Source organism: Homo sapiens, chromosome 5 (genome assembly GCF_000001405.40).
Source record: "Homo sapiens chromosome 5, GRCh38.p14 Primary Assembly".
Classification (NCBI taxonomy): domain Eukaryota; kingdom Metazoa; phylum Chordata; class Mammalia; order Primates; family Hominidae; genus Homo; species Homo sapiens.
The window spans coordinates 12,774,506-12,798,900 of record NC_000005.10 but is presented as its reverse complement, the minus strand read 5'-3'; the positions used below and the strand labels follow the sequence as shown (position 1 = coordinate 12,798,900).

Here is a 24,395-nt window from a genome sequence, read left to right as displayed (position 1 = left end):
CTACTAAAAATACAAAAATTACCTGGGTGTGGTGGTGCACACCTGTAATCCCAGCTACTCAGGAGGATGAGAGGGGAGAATCACTTGAACTCGGGAGGCAGAAGTTACAGTGAGCCCAGATGGCACCACTGCACTCCAGCCTGAGTGACAGAGCGAGACCCGTTTCAACAACAAAACAAAAGGTTTAACTGAATTATCCCTTCTCAGTTAATGTAAAGATAATAACTAGCTCTCCAGATTGTAAAATACTGATTATTTTTCATGTGATATTTTTGTTCTATCTAGAAGTGCTGTATCTAAAATTATAACATTTTTAATATTGGTATTTAAAAAGAAAATGCTAATTAGATTTTTAAAAAGTGCTGTCCATGTTTACAGGGCCTGTTTCTTACTTTGTCTTATTTTTTACCATGTCTTTATTTTTATTTTTAGCATTAAACTATTAAAGTTCACTCTTAAAGCATGTCTTTTGGAAATTCCCAAGGGGCATACCCCAAGCTAATGTAGGAAGGTATAGAAGGGTCTTAAGAGAAGGAGATGGAATGGAAGTGACAAGGGAAATGGGGGAATTCTGGGTGTAGGAAACACAGCTTTTGGCTTCCCTTCTGCTCTCCTGCCAGCTCCATGATGTTGGATTCCTATGGGCCAAAGGGCTCCTGAGATGTGGCAACTTCATGTAAGTGAAACCACGGCCTTGCTCTGCATCTCAGCAAGAGGGATTTGTGCACAATTTCTACCTTCTTGGCTACAGAAAATCGTGGAGAACAGTCAGAAAGGTGGGATCCTGGGAAGAGCTTGATGCTCAAAGTTGTATACATAACAGCCTCATTTCCATAAAGGTTTTTTATTCTCGTGTGTACTGGGAATTTCTGACTCAAGAATGGCTAGGAGTGTAATAACCTCAGGGTCAGGCTAAACCTTAGCATCTGAAAGAGAAGCAGCAGACCAGAGAGAAGGAAGCAGAGCCTGCCACACTTTATATATCACATGGCCATGCAAATAAATACTAGATTTCTTTCCTGTCTATGGAAATGTGTTCTTTAGTACTCTCCTAAAACCTGAGTTTAGTAAAAAATAAGCTGAACAAGAAACTGAAAATTTATCTATGGGAAAGAATAACACACAGAGAAGATCTCAGGTGTAGTCGTCAAAATTCAGACCTAGTGACACAGAACTACCAGAGGAAACTGACAAAATCTTTAAACAGGTGGAGCATTAAGAGTAAAGAAGAATAAAGTTTATGAAAAATAATCATATTATGTTCTAATTATGTTCCCTAAAATTTACATATTGAAATTGTAATCCTCAAGATGATTGGGCATTAGGAAGTATTAGGTATTAGGAGGTAAGGGATTAAGAGGTGGGGCCTTTGGCATGTGCTTAGGCCTACCCTCATAAATGGGATTGGTGCCCTTATAAAAGGAATCCCAAGAAACCAGCTCTCCCCTTACACCATGTGATGACAGGGAGGAGGCACCATCTCTGAACCAGGAAGTGGACCTTCACCAGACTCCAAATATGCTAGTCTCTTGATCTTTGACTCGTAGTCTCCGGAACTGTGAGAAATAAGCTTCTGTTGTTTCAGAACAGCATCTATTGATTATCTTCTAGCTTTTGTGAGTCAGAGAGTCCTGGTGCGCCTTAGCTGGTCCCTCTGCTCAGAGAGTTGCAGGGCTGCAACACATGTCTCTATCAGGCATTACTTCTTTCTAGAGCACAGTGTTCTCTTCTAAAACTATGCAATTGTTGGCAGAATTCAGTTCCTTGCAGTTGCAGAACCGAGGTCCCTGCTTTCTCGCTGGCTGCTCTTAGCTCCTGGAGGCTGCCTGTAGTTCCCTGGCAGATGACTCTTTCACAGGCCGTCTCACAACCTGAAACCTCACTTTTTAAAGTTCAAAAAGAGAATCTAGTCCTTAAGAACTATAAGACAGAATCTTCCATTATGTAAATAATTATGAGAATGGCTCTCCCCTATGCAGAAATCAAAAACACAGAAGTTAACATTCTACATATTAATGTTCTGATTACTCCTATTGTGTCCTGAGTTGGTTCCTTCCGGTGGGTTCTTGGTCTTGCTGACTTCAAGAATGAAGCCATGAAGCCGCGGACCTTCGCGGTGAGTGTTACAGCTCTTAAAGATGGTGTGTCTGGAGTTTGTTCCTTTAGATGTGTCTGGAGTTTCTTCCTTCCAGTGAGTTCATGGTCTCACTGACTTCAAGAATGAAGCTGCAGACCTTCGTGGTGAATTTTACAGCTCTTAAAGGTGGTGCAGACCCAAAGAGTGAGCAGCAGCAAGACTTATTGTGAAGAGCGAAAGAACAAAGCCCCCACAGCATGGAAGGGGCTCCCCGATGGGTTGCTGCTGCTGTCTGGGGTGGCCAACTTCTATTCATTTATTTGTCCCCTCCCATGTCCTGCTGATTGGTCCATTTTACAGAGTGCTGATTGGTGCGTTTACAATCCTTTAGCTAGACACAGAGTGCTGATTGGTGCATTTTTACAGCGTGCTGATTGGTGCACTTACAATCCTTTAGCTAGACACAGAGTGCTGATTAGGGCGTTTTTATAGAGTGCTGATTGGTGCGTTTACAATCCTTTAGCTAGACACACAGCGCTGATTGGTGTGTTTTTACAGAGTGCTCATTGGTGTGTTTACAATCCTTTAGCTAGACAGAAGTTCTCCAAGTCCCCACTTGACCCAGGAAGTCCAGCTGGCTTCACCTCTGACTATCATGGCACATATTGTGCTAATCAGCAAAATATTTATTTATACGTGCTAGAAAGCACACTGACAACAAAGTTAACTGGTTGAAAATAAAGGGACAAGTAAAGATACAGGCAATGCAAACAAAAGGAACAAAGAGGAGACATTAGAAATCAAATGAAGATGACATCATTATGTAGCTATGCTGAAATAAAAAGGATTGAGTCGCTACTCATTTGATGCAGGCAATGTCACAAAGAGCAAGACTTTTGCCATATTTATCTACCACATCTGGAAATTATAGAGAGTATTTGAGTGCATGAGGTTTGTGACACTTGAGAGATATGATTAGGGAAAGGAATAGTTCATTAGGCCCTTCCAATGTTTACCCATTGTTAATAGGTACATGCTATCACATTTTACATCTGTGCCAACCTCTGTGATGGGGCTCTGGGGGTCTAGACGTGACTGCCTAAATGAAAAACATCCAATTATCTATGCCTTAATTAAAGAAATGTTCTGACTGAAACCAAGAAAATGGTGCCCTGAACTGTAGACACATTTGTAGGTCTTTAAAAAATACATGTATTTTGACTAGCAGCCGCATTCCTGCTCTCTGAGGGAGAACCTGGCGTTAAGGCCACCCAGTCAGGCATGGCTGCGGAGATCAGAGCCCGGCGCGGGTGCACGGCCTCGGCGAGCTGGGCCTGGATGAGTGGCGCGGCGTGGAAGAGCAGGGCCTGACTGGGTGGTGCAGCGTCGGATGGCAGGGCCTGAACCAGATGCACGTCTGCGGAGAGCAGGACCTGGCAGAACGATGCTGCTTCGGCGAGCAGGGCTTGGCCCAGATGCATGGCTTGGCCCAGATGCATGGCTGAGGAGTGCAGGGCCTGGCTGCGTTGCCTGACTCGACACAGAAGCCCGGGAACCGCAACGGCTGCTAGGCTGGGACCCTGGAGAAGATGGCTGCAAAGGCCGAGGAAACAGACCCCGCCCTGGAGGCCTCTGAGCTGCGACAGCCTGGTTGCGGCCTGGCCGCTTCCTATGACGGTTGTTTGCAGGGCTCTTGGTCTGGGCCGGGTGCTCGTCGGAGTGGCCAGTGGCCTTCGGGGGTGGCCCCACAGCGGCCTGGCTGTCCCCGTAGGGCATCACACATCCAAGGACATGGTGAGGCCTGCGGCAGCCCTGGAGGTCAGAATGCCTCTTCGCCGGCACAGCAGCCATGAAGGGCAGCCACGGGCCCTCATCCGCCACGAAAATGGCGGCGGCGGTGGCGGCTGCGGTGTTGGAACCAGCAGTGTGGCACCTCAGCGCGGCGCTGCCGCAGGGAGACGCGTCACAGGAGAAGGTGGGACAGAAGCAACAGGATCTTCATTCCCGGTCCCACAGCCATCACCGGAGGCAGGGGCAGCCTCATTGTTCTGCCTTCCGGGCACTGTGTCCTGCTACTGCATCTGCTCTTTCTCCGAGCCACCCCGCCAGTCCCTGCTTACCGCAGAGGTGCATCCGGGCCAAGCCCTGCCCTCCAACGCTGTGGCAACCCCCCAGGCCCTGCCCTTCGCGGCCGCACAGCAAGGTCAAGCCCTGCTCGTCACAGCACCAGCATGACGCCAGGCACTGCCCTCCGGAGCCGTTCCACCCAGCGAAGATCAGCCCTTCTCAGCCGCCGCTCTCAGCTTGGGCCAGCTGATGAGAACACGCTTTCCCATGGGGCTGGCTTAGGACAGCTGGCCTTTCAGAGCAGCTCAGGCTCTTCTGATCCTGAGGTCCCAAGAAGTGCTTCCCCGCCTGGTTGGCATGCAGTCCGTATGCATGCCTCCTCACCCTCTCCACCTGGGAGGTTCTTCCTTCCCATCCATCAGCAATGAGAGCTCCTCCTCCTCTGGTGCTTCCAGCTCCTCCTCCCATCTAAGTTTTCTGAGCAGAGTTCCTCTTCCTCTTCCCCTAGGATTTTGGGCCTGAGATCTATCTCCACTCTTAGCCCTGATAGCCTTAGGCGTGCCTTGATGCCAGAGCTTTATGTTCCGAGCCCTGCCCCTCCAGGAGAGTAGGCCGAAAGAGAAAACAGCGCACCCCACTACACCACCTGAGCTGTGACCCTCTGTGAGCATCCTCTAAGACTCACAGAAGGAATCAACATCTACCCACTTTGTGAATGGCCTGCCTGCCCTGTGGTTACCTGTGAGGTCTCCCAAAGTTCCAGCCATTAACCGAAATCCTGAGTAGTTTTGAAGCCTCCCCTCCCCATAACTCCACCACCTAGCACTTACCTGCTGTTGGCCTTTGATTCTGGGCTACCTTCTTTCTCAAGAGAGTTTGCCTTTGCCCCTGAGCTGAGATTTCTGTTTTCCAAGTTGCCTTTCCATAGTGAAATATTGTAATTAGTAAAATGAAAGTGTTGGTTTTGTTTAAAAGATATATGTATTTTATTGAAAAATAATGAATTAATATTTGGCATATGGAAAACATGTTGGTATGTTTGCTTATATAGTCACATTATCTATAATTATAAGCAGGAGCTTAACCTCAAGTGAAATACAGTGACTCCAATTCCCCTACCTACCTCACTGGATGTATCTTGAGAGCCATCTATCCTATACTGATATTGGAAATTGCTACCTCAGCTTTATTTCACTTTGGACCATTCTAGATACAGTAGATAAATGATAACAGATTGGTGATAGATAGATGGATGGTATATAGATAGAAAGACAAAATGCTTCAAAGATTGAAAATGATACGCTACTATAAACTTTTACTGAGCATGTGATAGGATATTATTTTCCTTATAGGTCCAAAAATCTTAACTATGTACTAATTGTTTAGTGAAATCAATTTGCAAAAAATCATTTAGTTAGCTGACCAATTAGGGAGAGAGAAAGTCACAGAAAGTCAATTCAGCACAAATCAGGTAGCAATATAGTACAAGTTCTAAAGGCATGCTTCTAATCTTCCACATTATTTGAAGAATGCATTTGGGCAAATTACTTAAACTCTTTCTGCCTCACTTTACTTATCTTTATGGGTGGTAAAATAGGACCTCCACATAGGATTATATTTGACCATTAAAGGCTAGTTATTTTTAATTTACAAAATGGTCATTACCAAAAATTTATTCACAAAATTACCCTCTCAACTACTTTTTTATTCATTGTGTCTAGGATATTTTACTACCTGTGATATTCTTTAAAATCATCACATAGCTTAATATAATTAATATTAATACAGCTGAAATAATTTTGCCACTGCAGAATAAAATTTAGTTAATTCCAGAGTATAATTTTCAGTACTTTGGGAAATATGACATTGCAAGATGAGAGTTATATAGATATTTTTTGAAATTCAAGCATAATACGTGAAGCAAGTTTCTTTCTCCAATAGATTTTCACAATATTTAATGTCTTCTTATTTTTTCTTACTTACCATTTTCTTAGCTTGCTTGATAGAAACACTACTTTGTATATCATTTAAGCATCTGAAATATGCTCAGTATTTGGAAGCAGAAATCAACATACTATTATATTCTTATCATTTTATTCAATAAAACAGGGACAATTTTGACTACTAAACAAATATAACACAGTTGCTAAGATGAAAGAGCTACTGGGAAATTGAAACCTCAAAAGAATGTTCAAAACAATTTGAAACCTGTTGAAGTAATAATCTATAAACTTTATAAATATGTAATATATACAAAATTTTAGTGAATCAAAATTTTGTTCAATTGGTTTTTAGTGAACTGGTATTCACTAAATTGATTTTAGCTCAATACATGCCTGATTCACAGGATTTCACACACACATGTACATACCCCCATACCATCCACACTTACAGTATTAGAAGAACTAAAATTTGAAGGTTTGGTATGAGTCACATTGCAAATATGTTATTATCTATGTTACTAATATTCTCACTGCTTAAGATTGTAAAGGTCATTTCTTCTAACAGTGCAGCATGGGTATATTCTATCCATCCTCTGTCAGGCAGAGACAAGGTTATCTTAGTCATGAAGGTGAGGATCAGAGACATAAAGTCATGATATAGTTGGGAGACACCCAACCACTGAGAAGTTTCCAGAAAGAAAGATTTTAGTTTTGTAATTGTTTGCAAATAATTAATGAAACAAGGAAAATGAGCACCTTCTTTTAGATGACGGGTGGTGGAGAGTGCCACTTTAAATAGTCTTCCCAAAACTTGATGAACTACTGGGCACTATAATAAACCAGATGAAAAACACTGGCAGTCATTGCAGACATTTTTTAAAAGGTGATTTTCTAGGCCATTACTGAAGCTGATTAATTTCAGGAATTGTACTAACCGCAACTTATCTGTGGCAAAGGTGAGGTTTTGTGATTAATGATAGTGATGGATTTAAACGTGGTGTTAGAAAACATTTGACTTCAATATTACACCTGAAGGTGTAACTTGCTCTAACATTTTTAACATGCATTGGAAAAATAGACTTGTTGGACACAGAGTTGCACAAACCTTCATTTTATAGAAAGAGCAGTATCACCAAAGCACAATTAACAAAGTATGCTGTGTAAGAATCAAATCCTGGGCATTAAGCTAGATGAACTGACAGGATGAAACTTTTGGACTATTTTTCCCAGCATGGATTAAGTTTGTTCTTTGTGTGGGAAAAAGGACACACAAAAATATTTGAAGACCAGCAAGAAGGAATGTAGCATAGACAAGAAGTATTTACTAAGGAAACCATGTTTCCCTCCATTACTCATCCACCATTCTCTGACATGTGTTTTTCTAGTAAGTCTTAATCTATAATTTATTTTCAACCTCTACAAATTAATTAATTCTTTAGAATTTTTGAAATAGTTTTATGTTTTCTATTCATTTCTTTATATTTTCCTTCTCTCTTATATTTTTATGGCTTACACTGGGTTTTTAGCTTTTGTGTTTTAATTTAGTCTTCATTGATGAAATATTTTCTATAATTTCAAATTGCAAGTGGGTCTGTATGATATTTTCTTCACATCTTTTTTCTCAATCTTTATTAAAAATGTCTATTATTTTCTAATTATGCTGTTTTGGATTATAGATTTTTTATTCTATTAATATATTTAGATGTTCTTCAAATATTTTCCAACATATGTGCTCACTTTCGGTTTGGGTGTCACATTTTTATAATCCTTGCAAAATTTCAAAGTTTTTATTATTATTATATTTGTTATGGTGATCTGTGATCAGTGACCCTCGATGTTGTCATCAAACCCAGGTTCAGCTGCTCACCTGTCAAAAGCCAAACACAGGAGAGGAGCGATGGCGGGAAGAAAGCAGGTTTATCTGGAGAGCCAGTAATCTGAGAAGATGGTGGACTAGTATCCTAAGGTGCTGTCTTAAGTCAAAACATATTTCAGGGTCTTTTTATGTTAAGGGTGGGCAAAGAGAAAGAGGTTGTTATCAAGAGGTGACCAACAACCACAGACATCTGGGCACCAGTGAGGGTTTGAGTAGACTGGGAATGTCTTTAACCTTGGTCAGATCACAATGCTCATATATATCTGTAACAAAACATAGTTAGCTGTTTTCATACTTTCTCTTTAATCTCAGAGTTAGTTTTAAAAACTACATGATTGCTGTTTTTGCATATTATCTCAGTGCTCTAAAATTATCCTAGTCTACATGCAGGTATGGGTAAAGACCTCTTAAACACAACTAGAGTGAGAGTTATGTTAGTTTTTTTTGCTGTATTCTTGTTAGGATGTTACTATTGTAATGGTTTGGGGGCACCAAAAATTCTACCTATATAAGATGGTGAACTCAATCAATACATGTTTATTTTCTGCTCCCCCACTGACAGCTCTCTCCCTCATCTCTCTATTTCTACTCAGGCCTCCCTAGTTCCTGAAACAGAAGAATATTGAAATTAGGCCAATTAATAGACCTACAGTGGGCTCTAACTATTCAACTGATAGGAAGAGTCACATGCCCCTCATTTTAAATCAAAAGATAGAAATGATTGAGCTTATTGAGGAAGGCATGTTGAAAGCTAAGATAGGACAGAAGCAGAGACAGACTGAAAGCTAGGTCTCTTATACCTGACAGTTAGCCAAGCAGTGAAAACAAAGGAAAAGTTCTTGAAGGAAATTAAAAGTGTGACTCCAGTGAACACATGAATGATAAGTAACTGAAACAGCCTTATGCTGATGTAGAGTAAGTTTGAGTGTTCTCAATGGACTATCAAACCAGACACAACACTCTGTTTAGCCAAAACCTAATTCCAGGCAAGATGCTAACTCTCTTCAATTTATTGAAGCCTAAGAGAGGTGAGGAAGCTGTAGGAAACAAGTTGGAAGGTAGCAGAGGTTGGTTCATGAGGTGTAAGGAGAGAGGTCATCTTCATAACATAATGTGCAAGATGAAGCAGCAAGTGTTGCTGGAGAAGCTGCAGCAGCTTATCCAAAAGATCTAGTTAACATCACTGATGCAGGTGACTACACTAACAAGATTTTTTAATGTAGACAAAACTGCCTTATATCAGAAGGAGATGCCATCTAGGACTTTCATAGCTAGAGAGAAGCCAATGCTTGGCTTAAAAACTTCAAAGGACAGACTGATTCTTTTGATAGGAACTAATGTAGCTATGACTTTATGTTGAAACCAATACTCACTGACCACTTTAAAAATCCTAGGGAAAACAGTGATGCGAATTCTACTCTGATATGCTATATAAATGGAAAAAAATAAAAGCCTGGATGACAGCACATCTCTTTACAATATGGTTTACTGAGTATTATAAACCCACTGCAGAGACCTACCTCTCAGGCAAAAAGAAAAAAGAAAAAGATTCCCTTCAAAATTTTACTGCTTATTGACAATGTACCTAGTCACCCAAGAGCTCTCATGGAGATGTACATGGAGGTTAATATTGCTTTCATGCCTACTAATACAACATCCATTCTGCAGCCAGTGGATGAAGAAGTAATTTCAACTTTCAAGTCTTATTATTTAAGAAATACATTTTGCAAAGCTATAGCTGAGATAAATAGTGATGCTTCTGATGGATCTGGGACAAAGAGTTGATTCCAACCCTAATGAATGACTTTGAGGGGTTCAAGACTTCATTGGAGGAAACAACTACAGATGTGTCAGATTAGTCATATGAAAGATAGCTAGAATTAAACATGAAACCTAAAGATGTGACTGAATTGGTGCAATATGATGATAAAGCTTGAATGGATGAAGAGTTGTTTCTTATGGACAGAAAAGAAAATGATTTCTTGAGATGAAATCCAATCCTGGGGAAGATTCTGTGAACGTTGTTGAAAGGTCAATAAAGGATTTTGAATATTCCACAAACTTATTTGTAAAGTAGCCACCAGGGTTTGAGGTGATTGACTGAAATTTTGAAAGAAGTTCTACTGTGGTTAAAATGCTGTCAAACAGCATTGCATGTTACAGAAAAATCATTCCTGATTTCATAGCCATCCCAATCTTCAACAACCACCAGGCTGATCAGTTAGTAGCCATCAACATCGATGCAAAACTCTCCACCAGCAAAAAAAAAAATATATGACTCCTTCAAGGCTCAGATGATCATTACTATTTTTGGCAATAAAGTATTTTTAATTAAGGTATGTAAATAATTTGATATATAATGCAATTGCATACTTAATAGATTACAATGTTCTTTAAATATAACTTTGTATACACTACAAAATTTAAAAAATGATGTGATTCCCTTTTTTTTGAAATGTGCTTTATTGCAGTGGTCTACCATGAAACCCCCAGTATCTCTGAGTTATGCCTTTATATGTAAAGGTAGAAATCTGATCAAAAGAATGAAGAGACAAAACTGGATACTTTATAATGCAAAAGGCTACAATCCACAGTACATAGCGACAACTGATATAAAGATGAAACAGCAAAAGATTCAAGGAGAAATAAAGACAAATTCAAAAAGGAAAGACTTTTTATATGTGCTGCTTTGATTACTTAGTATTTTATATGAGTTTCTTTCTCTTTGTTCTTTTTCTGGAGTAGAGTTTTTTTTTGCGGGGGAAGGAATGCTGTACTCGCACTAAAATTTGATTTGTTGCTTAAAACAATATACTTTCAGATGAAAATTTGTGTGTTACAAAAATAACCACTATATTTGGAATATACTTGGAAGATTCACAAAAGTTTTCTAACAGCTTGACTGAAAAGAACAACACAAGAAATGTAAAGAAATAATATAAATAAATTTTGTGGATAAAAATAGGATAAATTAATAACAAAATCAAAATGCTACTTGCTGCAAAAATTTAAAATATATAAGCACCAATAAAGATGCTATATTAAATACCCTTGATTCAAAGAAAAAAATTAGGTAAATTATAATTTTTTAAAGTGTAATGATAATGCAAAGCTAATAAACTACAATCTAAGGAATTCAGCAAAATCAGGTATCAGAGGAATATTATAGTATTAGACACATATATCAACATAATACTATATAACTATAAACACCAGTGTCAGAAAACAGCAGCAAAGCCAAACAAAGTAGAAGGACCAGATATAAGCAAAATTAAGTGATTTCAGAAGTGTAAATTAAGTTCAGATACTTTTCTGTATCTCGTAGATTATCAATTTAATTTATTCTCCTCAGCTCCTATACTATTATGAATTGAATTATGATTTCCTAAAATCTTTTGAATTCCTGCATTAAAACTCAAGTGATTATAACATATTATGTCTAAATGTTGTCTTGTAATCATTTTCCCTAATACTCTAGTAAATATATTTACATGATTGATTGTTTAAAATACTGTTTGTCACTAATTTTTTTGTTGCAGGTTTGGGGATAAATATTATATTTCTTAGATAAAAGTAATTTGGAATTTTCTGTTTTATCATGCCTTTGAATAATCTAAATAAATATAACTTACTTATTCAGATAAGAATGGGGAGCTACTTCCTTATTATGAAGCATATATGTATGCATACATAAATGCTTCAATCAAGAACAAGACAAATAAGAAAAAAATTATAAAAAATACATTAAAATACGTAGTCCATGTGTATATACAACTATACACTTTGTACTTATCATAAAAGTAATGACTAATGATGCCTTCTGGGTCCTCTGCTTATTTAACATTATGACTATACTGGTCAGTACAAACTGACTAGAGGAGAGAAAACAACTAGAGGCAAAATAAATTCAAAAGGAGAGGTAAAATAATCTAGTTAGACAGCATAATTATACATCTTGACCACCAAAATATTCTAAAAAAATAATGAAAGTGATGTTAGATAAATACTTTAGGTAAAATTAACATAAAACCAATAAAACATATATAGACAAAGCAAGAAGTGGCTATTAGTTTTAATGGAAACAAGACAAAAGCAAAAAATTAAAAATAAAATGAGATATTACTACACACCTATCAGGTAGAAAGGCTAAAATCTAAAGCACTGACAGCACCAAAAGTAGCAAGTATGCAGAGCAACAAGGAATGATGGGAGGAATGCTAAATGGCACAGTCATTTTGGAAGGCTGTTGATAGGCTTTTAAAAAACTAAACATATTCTTTCCATATGACCACAAATGGTGCTCCTTGGCAACTTTACTCACAATTACCAAAACTTAGAAGCAAGGAATATGTTCCTTCAATAAGTGTATGAATAAACAGATGGTAGTGCATATAGGAAATGAAATATTATTCCATAATAAAAAGAAATGATCTATCAAGCCATGAAAAGACATGGAGGAAACTTAAATGCAGGTTTCTAAGTGGAAGAAACCAGTCTGAAAAGACTACACATTATGTGATTCCACCTATGTGGCATTCTGGAAAAGGCAACACCATGGGGAGTAAAACAAACAGTGGTTTCCAAAATTTTGGAAGGAAAAAGGGATGCATAGATAAAGCACAGGGAATATTCAGAACAATGAAACTATTTTGAGGATTATGTAATGGTGGGCAAATACCATTATTTATTTGTCAAAACTTACATTATGTATGACACAGCGAGTGAATTCTAATGTAAACTATAAACTTTAACAATGACATATCAATATGAATTCATTATTTATAACAAATATGCCAGACTGATGTAAGACAAAATAGGAGAAACTGAAGGTCATGATAAGACATAGGGGAAGTGTCAATATTTCCTAGTCAATTTTTCTGTAAAATTAAATCTGCTCAAAAACAAAATTATTTAACTTAAAAAAATGAGCAGACAAAATCTTAGTCATAAGCTTAATGGGAAATATTCCTAATCTAGAAAACCATAAAAAATTTATCAAGGCTCACTATTATACTTGAAGACCTATTATATCCTTGCACAGAAAGAAAATATCATAAAGTTATCAGTTGCCCAAAAGTTAATTTATAAATATAATGCATTACCACTAAAAATACCATCAAGTTTTGTTCGGAAGCAAGCTGATTATTAATTATAGTTGGAATCACAAACAGTCAAGGAGAGTAACAAATTTCCTAAAATGTAAGAGCAATTATGGTGTGCTAATCTACCAGGTATGGAATAGTATTATGACGTCTCTACATTTAAAAGATTGTCATATTGGCCTACAAGAAAGCAGACCAATGGAACAGAACAGAAATTCCATAAGTGAACACTACTACATTTCAAAATTTAGAGTATAAAAAGACATTACCTCAAAAAAATGAAGAAAAATTAGGTTTTACAATAAGGAATATTTGAGATACCTTGCTAGTCATTTGGGAAAAAGAACTATATCAATTTCTCACAGTATATCCCAGATAAATCCCAAATGGATCAGATTATTAAATCTAAAAAACAAATAATTTTAGTTAATAAGTGAATAAGGCATGATATAATTTGAATGTCACTATTTTCAAGCCTTTTTGAAATATAGATTGTAGGCAATAGTCATGAGTGGGGTAATCATCCATAAAACAAGGACCAGTGAATAGTGGGTAGGTTTTGTTGAAATTTCACATGTTCAGGTATAAAGCATTTTTTCTAGAAATGGAAACTGAATCAAATTAGGTCTTCAGATCTAAATATCAGAAAATAATTGGTATAAAGTATAGATAATACTTGGGAAGAGGTATAGGTCCATGGAAGTGTGTTTTGCAGATTCCATAATGTAGTATAATTTACAGCATGAGTGTACCAGTTTATCAGCATGGTTTGTTATAATAAAGTGGGCTCTTAATTTGAATAAGAAAACAATGAATTAGATTTCTATTACAATTCCTGGGTCTTAATTACTTAGAATGACTAAAACATATAATCAATAGTTTATATTATTATAAATCACACTACTCAATAGGAAAACAGAGTGTCTTGTCAAATAAAAAACACTAATTGATTTTGCAATTTTAAACAATGATTGGATCATTAAAACTATCTATCCTTATTATCCTACTGTATATTTAAATAGGTTCAGTACTAATTATTTTAGTATCTAAATTGTTAACATTATCAAACTGTTTGTCATATTATGCAAAAGGTTCAGCTAATGCTAAGCCTAACAAGACCTCTCTGTACTTGTTGAAATCTTGTGGTAGACAGTGAGCACCTATCCCCATAAAACATCATTTTTTTGAGTAAACGCCATCCTTACATGTATAAGATGCTTGAAGTAAAATATCCATGAATGTATACAATTTTCCTATGATAGTTGTAACAGAGGCTGTCAGTACCACACTAATATCCCATAGTCTTTGTCACACTTGCCCTTAACGTTCTTGTCACCCTTGTCCAATTTCCCACAGTCAACCTCTGACAAAAGATATCTTTTTGCCCTTCATGCGTAGTAGACCTGTGTCTTAATCAGCCAAATCTCATAGACTAGGTGACTCAATTATGAATTATTTTCTCATAGTGCTAGAGACTGCAAAGTCCAAATAGAGCTTGATTTCGGGTAAGGGCTCTCTTCCTGGCTTGCAGACCACCACCCTCTTGCTGTGTCCTCGCATGGTGGAGAGAAAGAACAAGCTCTTTCTCTCTTCCTATTTTTTATAAGACCAATAATACTATTGGATTAGGGCTCCACCTTTACAACCTCATTTAACTTTAATTATTTCTGAAAAACTCTATCTCCAGATAGTCACATGGGAGATTAAGGTTTCAACATATGAATTTAGAGAGACACAGTTCAGTCCATACCAGACTGAAATGGTGAGGAAATAATGACTATTATTCCCAGACTTTTCTCCAGTAGCCCTCAAACAATGAGTGAAAACACTTAATGAGTAAATCCTCCAGTGGGCTCATTCTTAGGCAGGTGCTTCTACACTGGCTTTCAGAATTCTTTGGTGGGATTAAGCTCCAAGTACTCATGAAAGTAATTTATTGACAATGTACAGTCTACTGCATGGCCACTGGTTTCTCCCTTACTCTTCCCTATTCTGTGCCAGTGATTCTTGGGATTACCTTTTAAATAAGCTACTTGTAATTAAAACTTTGTGGGTATCTTTAGGGGAATCTCAACTAAGACAACTGGTATTGTCCTAGGAAGCAGATCTTCGGAATGGGATTGTGACATTGACTATTATGCTGGCCAGATGGCAGTCAGGGACTCATTGCTGCTTTTAGATAGGGTGGTGACACTCCTTGACATGTCATATATAGCATTACAATTCTGAAGACTATTACATATTGTGAACTGAGATGTACAGCATACAACTGGAAGCATTTACGGACCTATGTAATATCCATAGTGCTTGAGATGCAAAAAAGTAATTTTAAGTATTGCAGAGTTTTTGATTGTAGCTAAGGACCACAAATACTGTGAAGGAAGGAAATAATAGGCTTATGTTAGGTAACCACAAACTCATGGCTTGGTGTGAAAGCTAGAACACCTCCGTGACAAAGGCGCTCATCTCCTGGAGCCAGGAAAAAAACTGCACTGATAAGAATTCCAGCCACTGATTTTGTGAGTATAAGAGTTATAGAAAAAAGGTTAAATGTGAATCACAAGGATATGTTTTATGCTAGAATGGGGTCCCTGAGAGGTAAGTGAGGAAACCCTGGGACCTGGTATGCTGGCGTTTGGGTGGATGCACTTTAGGTCCCCCAGTCGCCAAATTTCCCTTGGTCTTACCACTCTTAACATTCTCATAACTCATGAGCAGTTTCCAACTGTCCACCTCTGGGCTAGAAGAAATAACTCTGTCTTCTCTGTTAGGAATGGCAGACTGAAAAGTACATGAAGCTCTCAGATGAAGTGTCTGTCTCACACGATGATATTTTATCTCACCAAAATCTGTTTGAATTGTACCTCCATAATTAATTATGGAAGGATGAACTAGCTGAACCAATTGGAGAAAGTGTTCCTGCCCCACCAAAATAACTTCAGGGCTTGGCAAATGTGGACCAAGAATCAGAGAAAATGCAAAAAGTGGATCTTGATAATAAAGAATGAAACTCTTCTAGAACATATCCCTAAAGTAAAATAATATAAAAATATTGATGTGGGAGCATGCTCCCATAACTCAGATAACTTAGGATATAAAGTTCTGAACAGGACACCTGGAGATAGTCCTAAAACACTTCTAGGATGGCTCTTTAAAGTTTATGTCTTTCTCCCTACTTCTCTTTCTCTTTGTCTTTCTTTTTCTCTTCTTCTCTCCTTCACCCTCTTCTTCTCCCTCTCTGTATTTGTGTGTGTATATAAATAGATATATATGTGTATGTATATAATAAATATTATATATAATATCTATACTTAACACTTTAGTGGAAATATCAGAATTGTTTCATAAGAATATTGATAGAAGGGTCAAAAACATAAAGAGGTTTTCCTAGGGATGTTGGCTACAGGGCCAACTTATTAATATCAGATGAACCAAAGCTCCATCATGAACCACTGCTCTCTGTTAAGTAGCAGTATATAGAGTCTACATGATGTAAAAAGCTCTCCATGATATAAAAAGCAGCTCCAGGCATGCTTGCCATAGTAGACAGCATACCTAAACAAAGGCCATTAAAAGACTCTACAACTGGTATTGCTCATCATAAACTGGAAATTTTCAGCCCAGCCAGTCCTAAAGTTGAGTGGGAACCATAGTACTCCATAGCCCAATGAAATAGCAGTGGTTTTGGCTTCAAGTCTGATCAAGTCTGGAGTATTCATGTATTACATATATGCCCTCTGAGGAACAGTTTATTTAATTTATCTCATTCTGTAGCCTTGCGAGAGGATCCTTAAGAGCAGCAGATGTCAGAGGGAAAAATTACAGTTCTGTTCTATGGAGACATCAACTTGATATGATTGTGTGCTACCAGAATGGACACACTGCCCCAATCTAGGTGGCCCCAAAATGCTCCTAGTACACATGACTTTGACCAGTGTTTCTGGCCATGAAATTTGTGAGGAAGGAGAAGTGGCCTGAGGTAGGGATATTCCTGGAATTCTAGGAACTGAGTGTGGCTTAGCTTTTTAAAAGTAATTATCAATTTATTATCAGAGTCCTGGAAGGAGCAAGTAGACAATTAGAAACAAAGAAGCCTAAGAAAGAAGCATTTGAATGCATTAGTGGAAAGGGACATGATGGGTGAAAGTCTCCACACTCGCCAGGTAGCATCCACTGTAGAAGAGGCATTATACCAGGTTACAGATGGCAGAAAATACTTTGTAGTCTCTCCCATCAAGTCTTTTTTGCCATCATTTAAATCTGGGATGGCCATGTTACTTGCTTTGAGAAATACAATAAGGCAGAAATGACAAATTGTAAGTTCTAAGCCGTGACTTCAAGAGGACATGTAGTTTCTGCTCTTGCTCTATTGGAACATTTTTACCCTGAGCTAGGCTGCTGGTGAAGTCACACGAAAAGTTGTATGAAAAGTATCTCAGCCAAAAGCCAGCAATCAAAGAGACATCAAAGCAAGGTCACTGTGTGTCATCTAGTGTTAGTTTAACTGACAGCTCACTGTGGCCAAATGGATATGGTCAAATGAGAAGGAGGGGAGAAGAAGGAAAGGAGGAAAGGAAGTAAGGAAGAAAAAGAGGGAAGGGAGGAAGGGGATGAAAGAATACTGCTATATGCTAAAGAGTAGCCAAAGAGTAAAAGCTACCGCATAGCATCAAGGTTTGACTCTGAAACACCAACACCATCACTGGGTCAACAACCCCTGGACATCGTCTCTTCAGTGTTTTAAGCAACAGACTTGCATACCTGAAACAGGGTGCTCATCTGGACAAGAACAATAGGTTTTTCTACTTACTATGAGGGAGGGATTTTTGCTCTATTTGTTGTAGTACAGTGTGACTTTATAGCAAATGTAATCTCATTAGTAATATCATTAGTATAAATATATCTGAGATACTAGAATATTTCTATTATTAATACTCTTTTTTAGTGTTTTAGTAAATTTTTACTAACAATAGAAATAATTATTAAAAATTTTGGTGAAGAAATCCCAGAGCCCGGCATTTATTTTAAATTGAATGTTTTTCGTTGACTTTTACCAATAATGATGCAATTTACTTCTTGTAGCAACAGTGCGCATGCTCCAAAATGTGACTAAGCATACATATGTCGACATAACGTACATTTTTCTTGTGTCTCCATGTCCACATGTGAACAGCTTATTTTTAACTTTAAAAAATAAAGACCAAAAGAAGCAGTGATTAAATAGATTGGCAGAATATAATACTTTGCCTCATTTTTAAATTTGTTCTGCATTTCCTCAATGCATAGTGAAACAGATGCTATATTTTATCTTTGGGGCAGAGTTTGTCCAAAGTGCATATAAAACTGTCGTATATGTGATTTCCATTGAAATATATTCACTGCTCTGCTTATAAAATCTGTTGTATTGATATGAGATTAATAGTACAAAGGGACAAATTTGTTTTTAAACAAAAATAACATAATTATTGTGTGTACTCCAATTGCACTTATCTTCCTTTGCTTTTGTTTTCTCTTTTTCTCTAATTTTGTTCCCTTATATGTCAACATACATTTTTCTAGGGTTCTCAGTGTAAGTTTCTCACTATTTTTTCAATTAATATTTTCCAGAAGGGGTTAAAATAGCTCTTATTTCAACTGGAAAGGAACCAATTGTGTTTTGGGAATATTTTAAATCTTTTAAACAGACTTTTATTATTTGATTTCTATTTTGAAAATTATCAAACCTAAATAAAAACTGTAAGAATAGTACAATAAAAATGGATTAAACTTTGCTTAGATTTACAGATTTCTAACATTTCCTTATTTATTCCTACTTATCAATAAATATATACATATTATTAGGATTATTAATATTTATGTTGAAACATCCAAAATTAAGTGTTGGATAACATGATCCTTCACCCTTAAATTCTTTAGTATGAATATCCTAGGAACTAGGAGAACATTCTCTTATGAAACTACAAGGCATTTATCAAATTCACGTAATTTACATGGATGCAATACTTATAATTCTCATCAAATTCATGTTTAACTTTTATTAATTACCTTTAAAACCTCCTTCATAGCAATTTTTATTCAACTCCAGTTCCAACACAAAAATGTATTTTACTTTCAATGTTAATGTTCCTTTAGCATACTTTATTCTGGAACTGTTTTTCAGCCTTTCACATTGATATTTCTGAATTGTAGAGGCCAAGAGCTTTATAGAAGGTCCCACAAGTTGTGTTTGCTTGCATATTTTATCCTAACTAGATCCAGGTAATTAATTTTTGGCAGGAATATAATATACTTGAAGCTGTATCCTTTTCAGTGTAAAATGATACATCAAGGAACACCTGGTATCAGTGCACGCCATCATTGATGCTGGTAACCTTGGTGTGGAAGTGACCATCAGATTTTCCCACACACAGTTTCCTTCCTTCCCTTAGAATTTGATAAGTCATTTACGGGGAGCAATTTTGATCCTGTTTTCAACAAACATTCATCTAATGTTTGAACATCCATTGATACATATCAAAATCTTATTACAATGAGTTTAACTGTCATTTCTTCCACATGTTAGTTGACATTATAATGTAAAGAATAATTTTACTTTCTCCTACCTTTATGTATTTCTTTGTTTTACAGTTTTAACTGTTTTTATTAGAACTTAAAATTGGAGAGTGGGATCAAGAAAGTTTTGTTTTTACTTTGCAATCACATAAATTTACTATGCTTTTCAAAGAGTAAATGCATATTAGAAACAAAGTAAACTTTGTGGTTTTCAGAGTGCTGAAGTGATCCCCAGTGACTTATTCCTGTGTAACTCCTTTCCTTTGATTATGAACATGACCTGTGGACATGAGGGAATATGATTTCTATGATTATTTGTTGTATGGCAAATAGGATTTTTGCAAGTGCAAAACAATTCTCATATTTGTGAAAACCATTGATACTACTTGGAGAAATATACAGATTCTCTTTATAACTTTTGTTTCTAAAAAAGAGTCAGATAATATCCCATATTAATACATCTTTAAATTATGCTCTGGGTCCACCGCTTTCACAAAAGAACAGGTTTGCTGACAAGCATTCTCTAGAAAAATCCTTTACCCTCAGTATTGTCACAGTATACTTAGAAATCCTAGAAAATCTCATGCCTGTTAAGCTAACACAGCTTGTTCTTAGAGATGGTATCCAAACTATACCAAGTTTAAGTCTACCTTTTAACATACCAATCCTCTACTATCCTGGATAATTAGGTTAGCCAAATGATTTTGCATTTACATGAAGCCTAATTTTATCATATTACAACTCACATTATCTATTTATCTACATAAATATGTGACTTTATAGAAAATATAGACAAACTATATTTCCTAAGACAATTTTCAGAAAAATGGATGTAAGCTTACTTTATTATATGAAACCATAGAATCTCTTTCAAATGTTTTTATATATGCTTCTTATGTTAGTTACTTTTGTGGCAGCATAGACGTTGAAGATTGGCTGATGTCCAGTCTTTAGGCAGGATAGCTGTTGTCAATGATGGATTATACATATTTTTATCTTTAGCTCAGTGAATTAATTTTAAAGAGTCTGCAGAATGTTTGAATGACTGCCATCTGGTCCTGTTGATTTTCTTGCAATATAATTTATTGATATAGTTTGTCATTTCTAACTTAAAAGGCTGTCTAGGATAAAGCCTTACCTCCCACTATATAACAAGAATAACTACCAAGGTAAATGTTGCGTGTATTACCATGAATGTCAGTTCAGAAGAGGTAAGTGTCTGTATTGCAATCTCCTTAGTGTCCAATATTAACAAAGTGATTTACAAATATGAATTTTAGGCCTGGAGCGGTGGTTCCCTCCTGTAATCCTAGCACTTTGGGAGGCCGCGGTGGGTGGATCACCTGAGGTCAGGAGTTTTAGACCAGCCTGGCCAACATGGCGAAACCCTGTCTCTAATAAAAATACAAAAATTAGCTGGGTGTGGTGGCCGGCACTGTAATCCCAGTTATTCAGGAGGCTGAGGCAGGAGAATCACTTGAACCGGGGAGGCTGAAGTTGCAAGGAGCCGAGATCCTGCCATTGCACTTCTGCCTGGGTGAAAGAGCGAAACTCCGTCCAAAAAAAAAAGAAAGAAAGAAAGAGAGAGAGACAGAGAGAAAGATGATTTTCAGCCTAATATTGGCGATAAGAAGCCTTTCTTCTGATTAGCTTCACTTCAGTAAGGACTTTTGTCAATATACACTTTCAGCATTGTACATGAAATGTTTGGCAAGAGGCAGATGACTAGTCTCTCTGTGGTCATTTCCTGATACATTCATATCTCAGGCCACAATCTCCCTGCTTTTCACTTACTTCCTACCATCTCTAGGTCCTACATCACCATTCTGTTATCCATATTTACTACCCTTCTATTACAGTTGTTTTGCCTCCACAGCATGCATGCTAGATTTCCACAAATTCTTTATGTCTTATGTAGCCAAACATTCTCAATTCATGACAGAACTAAATGTCCAAAATAATTAATATCGGGGAAAAGGAAATAGTTTGATTACAGAGGAATAATAATTATAACATGGCTTGATCATAAAAATATTTTTATATTAAATAATTGAAATGAGTGAATAATGATTTAACCATGAGTTGCTGTGAACTTTAGGCTGAGAATACTGATGAAGACGGTGAGTTTATGTGTTTATATGTGTGACTATAAACACATTTTAATAAAGGTAAATCCTCATATGGTATAGTATAAATATATTTCAAACATGAAAATTTAAAAATAGCTCTACATACTTTTGGTTTAGAAATAGAGTTGTAAATACTAGAGAAATATGGTTGTAAATACCAAATTAAAAAGCAAACAAGATTTTAATGTTTTTAATTATTTTTTCTATTTTAAGAAAATTACTGATTTCCATGCTGTTGTAAAAAATAATACAGAAGTACTATGTACCTTTTATTAGATCTACTCTAATGATTGCATCTTGTAAAACTATAGAACTATATTTTAATCTGGATTTTGACATAAAATACAGACAAGATACCGAACACTTCCATCGCTACAGCATCCTTTATGCTACTCTTATATCTACGAGCACTTTCCTTCCATTTTCACCCCCTTTAACTCCTAGCAACTACTAATCTGTTATTTCTCTAGTTTCATTTTGCTAATTATATATAAATTGTATCATAAAATATATCTTTTGGGATTGGCTTTTATTACTATAATTCCTCTGAAAATTCATCAAGATTCTTATATTTATAAAGAGTGGTTTTTTCTCCCTTGTTGGGAGATATTCTATGATATTGATATACCATGGTTTTGTGGGGTTTCTATTTATCCATTGAAAAACATCTGAGTTATTTCCAAATAAAGCTTCTATAATTATTTATGCGCAAGTTTTCTGTGAATATACGTTTTCATTTTTCTTGGATAAATGTCAATTATTGTTGGCAAATGGTAATCAAACTGTGGTTCATATGGTAGTGATATGTTCAGATTTTTGAGAAATTTTAAATTGTTTTTCAGGGTGGCTGAACCATTTTGTATTTCAGTCATCAGTGTGTGAGTGATTGCACTTCTTTGCATGTTCATCAACATGTGGTGTTGCCACATTTTTTGGTTTGGTTTGATTTTGTTTTTAAATTTTGCATTTCTGATATGTCTGTAGTAATAGTTCATTGCGGTTTTAATTTGCCTTGCCTTGGTGGCTAATGATAAGGAATATCTTTTCATGTGCTTATTTGCTATCCATACACCTTCTTTATTAAAATGGTTCTTCACGTCCTTTGCCAATTTTTTCATTTGATTTCTCATTTTCCTCCTGTTGCCTTTTGAGACTTCTCTGTAAAATCTAGATAGCTATGTAATTTGAAATTGTTTTTTTCCAGCCTGCAGCTTGTCTTTTATCCCTCTTCAAAGGTTCATTCACAGTGAAAATATATTTCGATGTTCTTAATGAAGTCTGACTTATCAAAGTTTTCTTTGATTTTTGTGCCTTTTATAAGAATTCTTTCTTTTCCCCAACTTTTACTTTAAGTTAAGGGGTACATGTGCAGGACATGAGCTTCTGCACAGCAAAAGAATTATTTACCCAGCTCTAGATCTCAAATATCTTTCTCCTAATTTTCAAAAGTTTTATTTTTCACATTTTACATTTGTCTGCAATCACTTTTAAAATAAAAGCATAAATTTAAGGTGTACAGCATGATGTTTTGATATACATGTACATTGAGTAATGGCTACTACAGAAAACTAACATATTCATCTTGGTCACCTCACATAGTAACCTTTTAGCAGGTGTGTGTGGTGAGAACACTTAAGATCTACTCTCTTAGCACAGTTAAAATAGTCAACACAGTATTAATAACTATAGTCACTATTCTGTATATTAGATCTCTATAAAGTTTTCACATCACATAAGTGAAACATATCTTTTGACCAACATCTCTCTATTTCTCCCACTCTGTCTGTAATCCATTTGGAGTTAATCTTTTTATAAAGTTTGAGACATGTCCAATTGCTATAACGAATGTTAGAACATTTGTTGCAAAGGTTATGTTTCCTTTATGATTTTGCTTTTGCACTTTTGTCAAAACTCAATTGGGCATATTCATATAGGTCTATTTCTGAGTTCTCTATTCTGTTTTGTTGATCTATGTATTGATTCCTCCATCAATATCACACAAACTTGATTACTGTAGGTATATAGTGAGTCTAAAAATGGATAGACTGATTCCTCTTTTTATATTCATAATTTTCAATATTATTTTAATTCTTCAGGTCTTTTGCTTTTTTATACCAATTTTAGAATAATGTTCATTATATCTATAAAAATCTTAATGATATTCTGATATGAATTTGGTTATACCTGTATATAATTATGGAGAATTAACATCTTTCATGTGCTGTCTTCCAATTCATGAACATAGTATATGTCTCTCTTTATTTAAATCTTCTTTGATCTTTTCATAACCATTGCACATCTTTATAATACACAAGTCTTCTACATATTTCATTTACAACAAAACATTTCTTCGTGTGTGCGAACAACTGAAGATGGTATAAAATTTTTAATTTTAGTATCTATGTGATTATTGCTGGCATATAGAAATACAAATTATTTTTGGATGTTTATTTTGTATCCTGCTTGTATCTTGTGTCCTTGATGACCTAATTTATTTTAGGAGGTTTTTGTATATTAGTTGAGAGTTTCAGTGGAGACAATTATGTCATCGGCAAATCGGGACTTTTTTTTATCTTCAATTGCAGCATGCGTGCCCTTCATTTATTTATTTATTTGGCCATATTGAAGTCTTTAGAGCTTCTAGAATTG

At 36.3% G+C, this 24,395-nt stretch overlaps 2 long non-coding RNA genes and 1 pseudogene across 2 annotated transcripts in view; 1 reads left to right on the top strand and 2 right to left on the bottom strand.

The window, feature by feature from the left end:
• LINC01194 (long intergenic non-protein coding RNA 1194) overlaps positions 1-24,395 on the bottom strand; it is a 230,327-nt gene that overhangs the window by 6,283 nt on the left and 199,649 nt on the right. The gene's annotated exons all lie outside the window — the stretch shown is intronic.
• On the bottom strand, positions 3,365-4,170 carry LOC100420683 (EZH inhibitory protein pseudogene; annotated as a pseudogene).
• Positions 7,908-14,486, top strand: LOC124900941 (uncharacterized). The gene is made up of 3 exons (XR_007058695.1): positions 7,908-8,053; positions 9,358-10,299; positions 10,435-14,486. It is a non-coding gene; the product is annotated as an uncharacterized LOC124900941 (long non-coding RNA).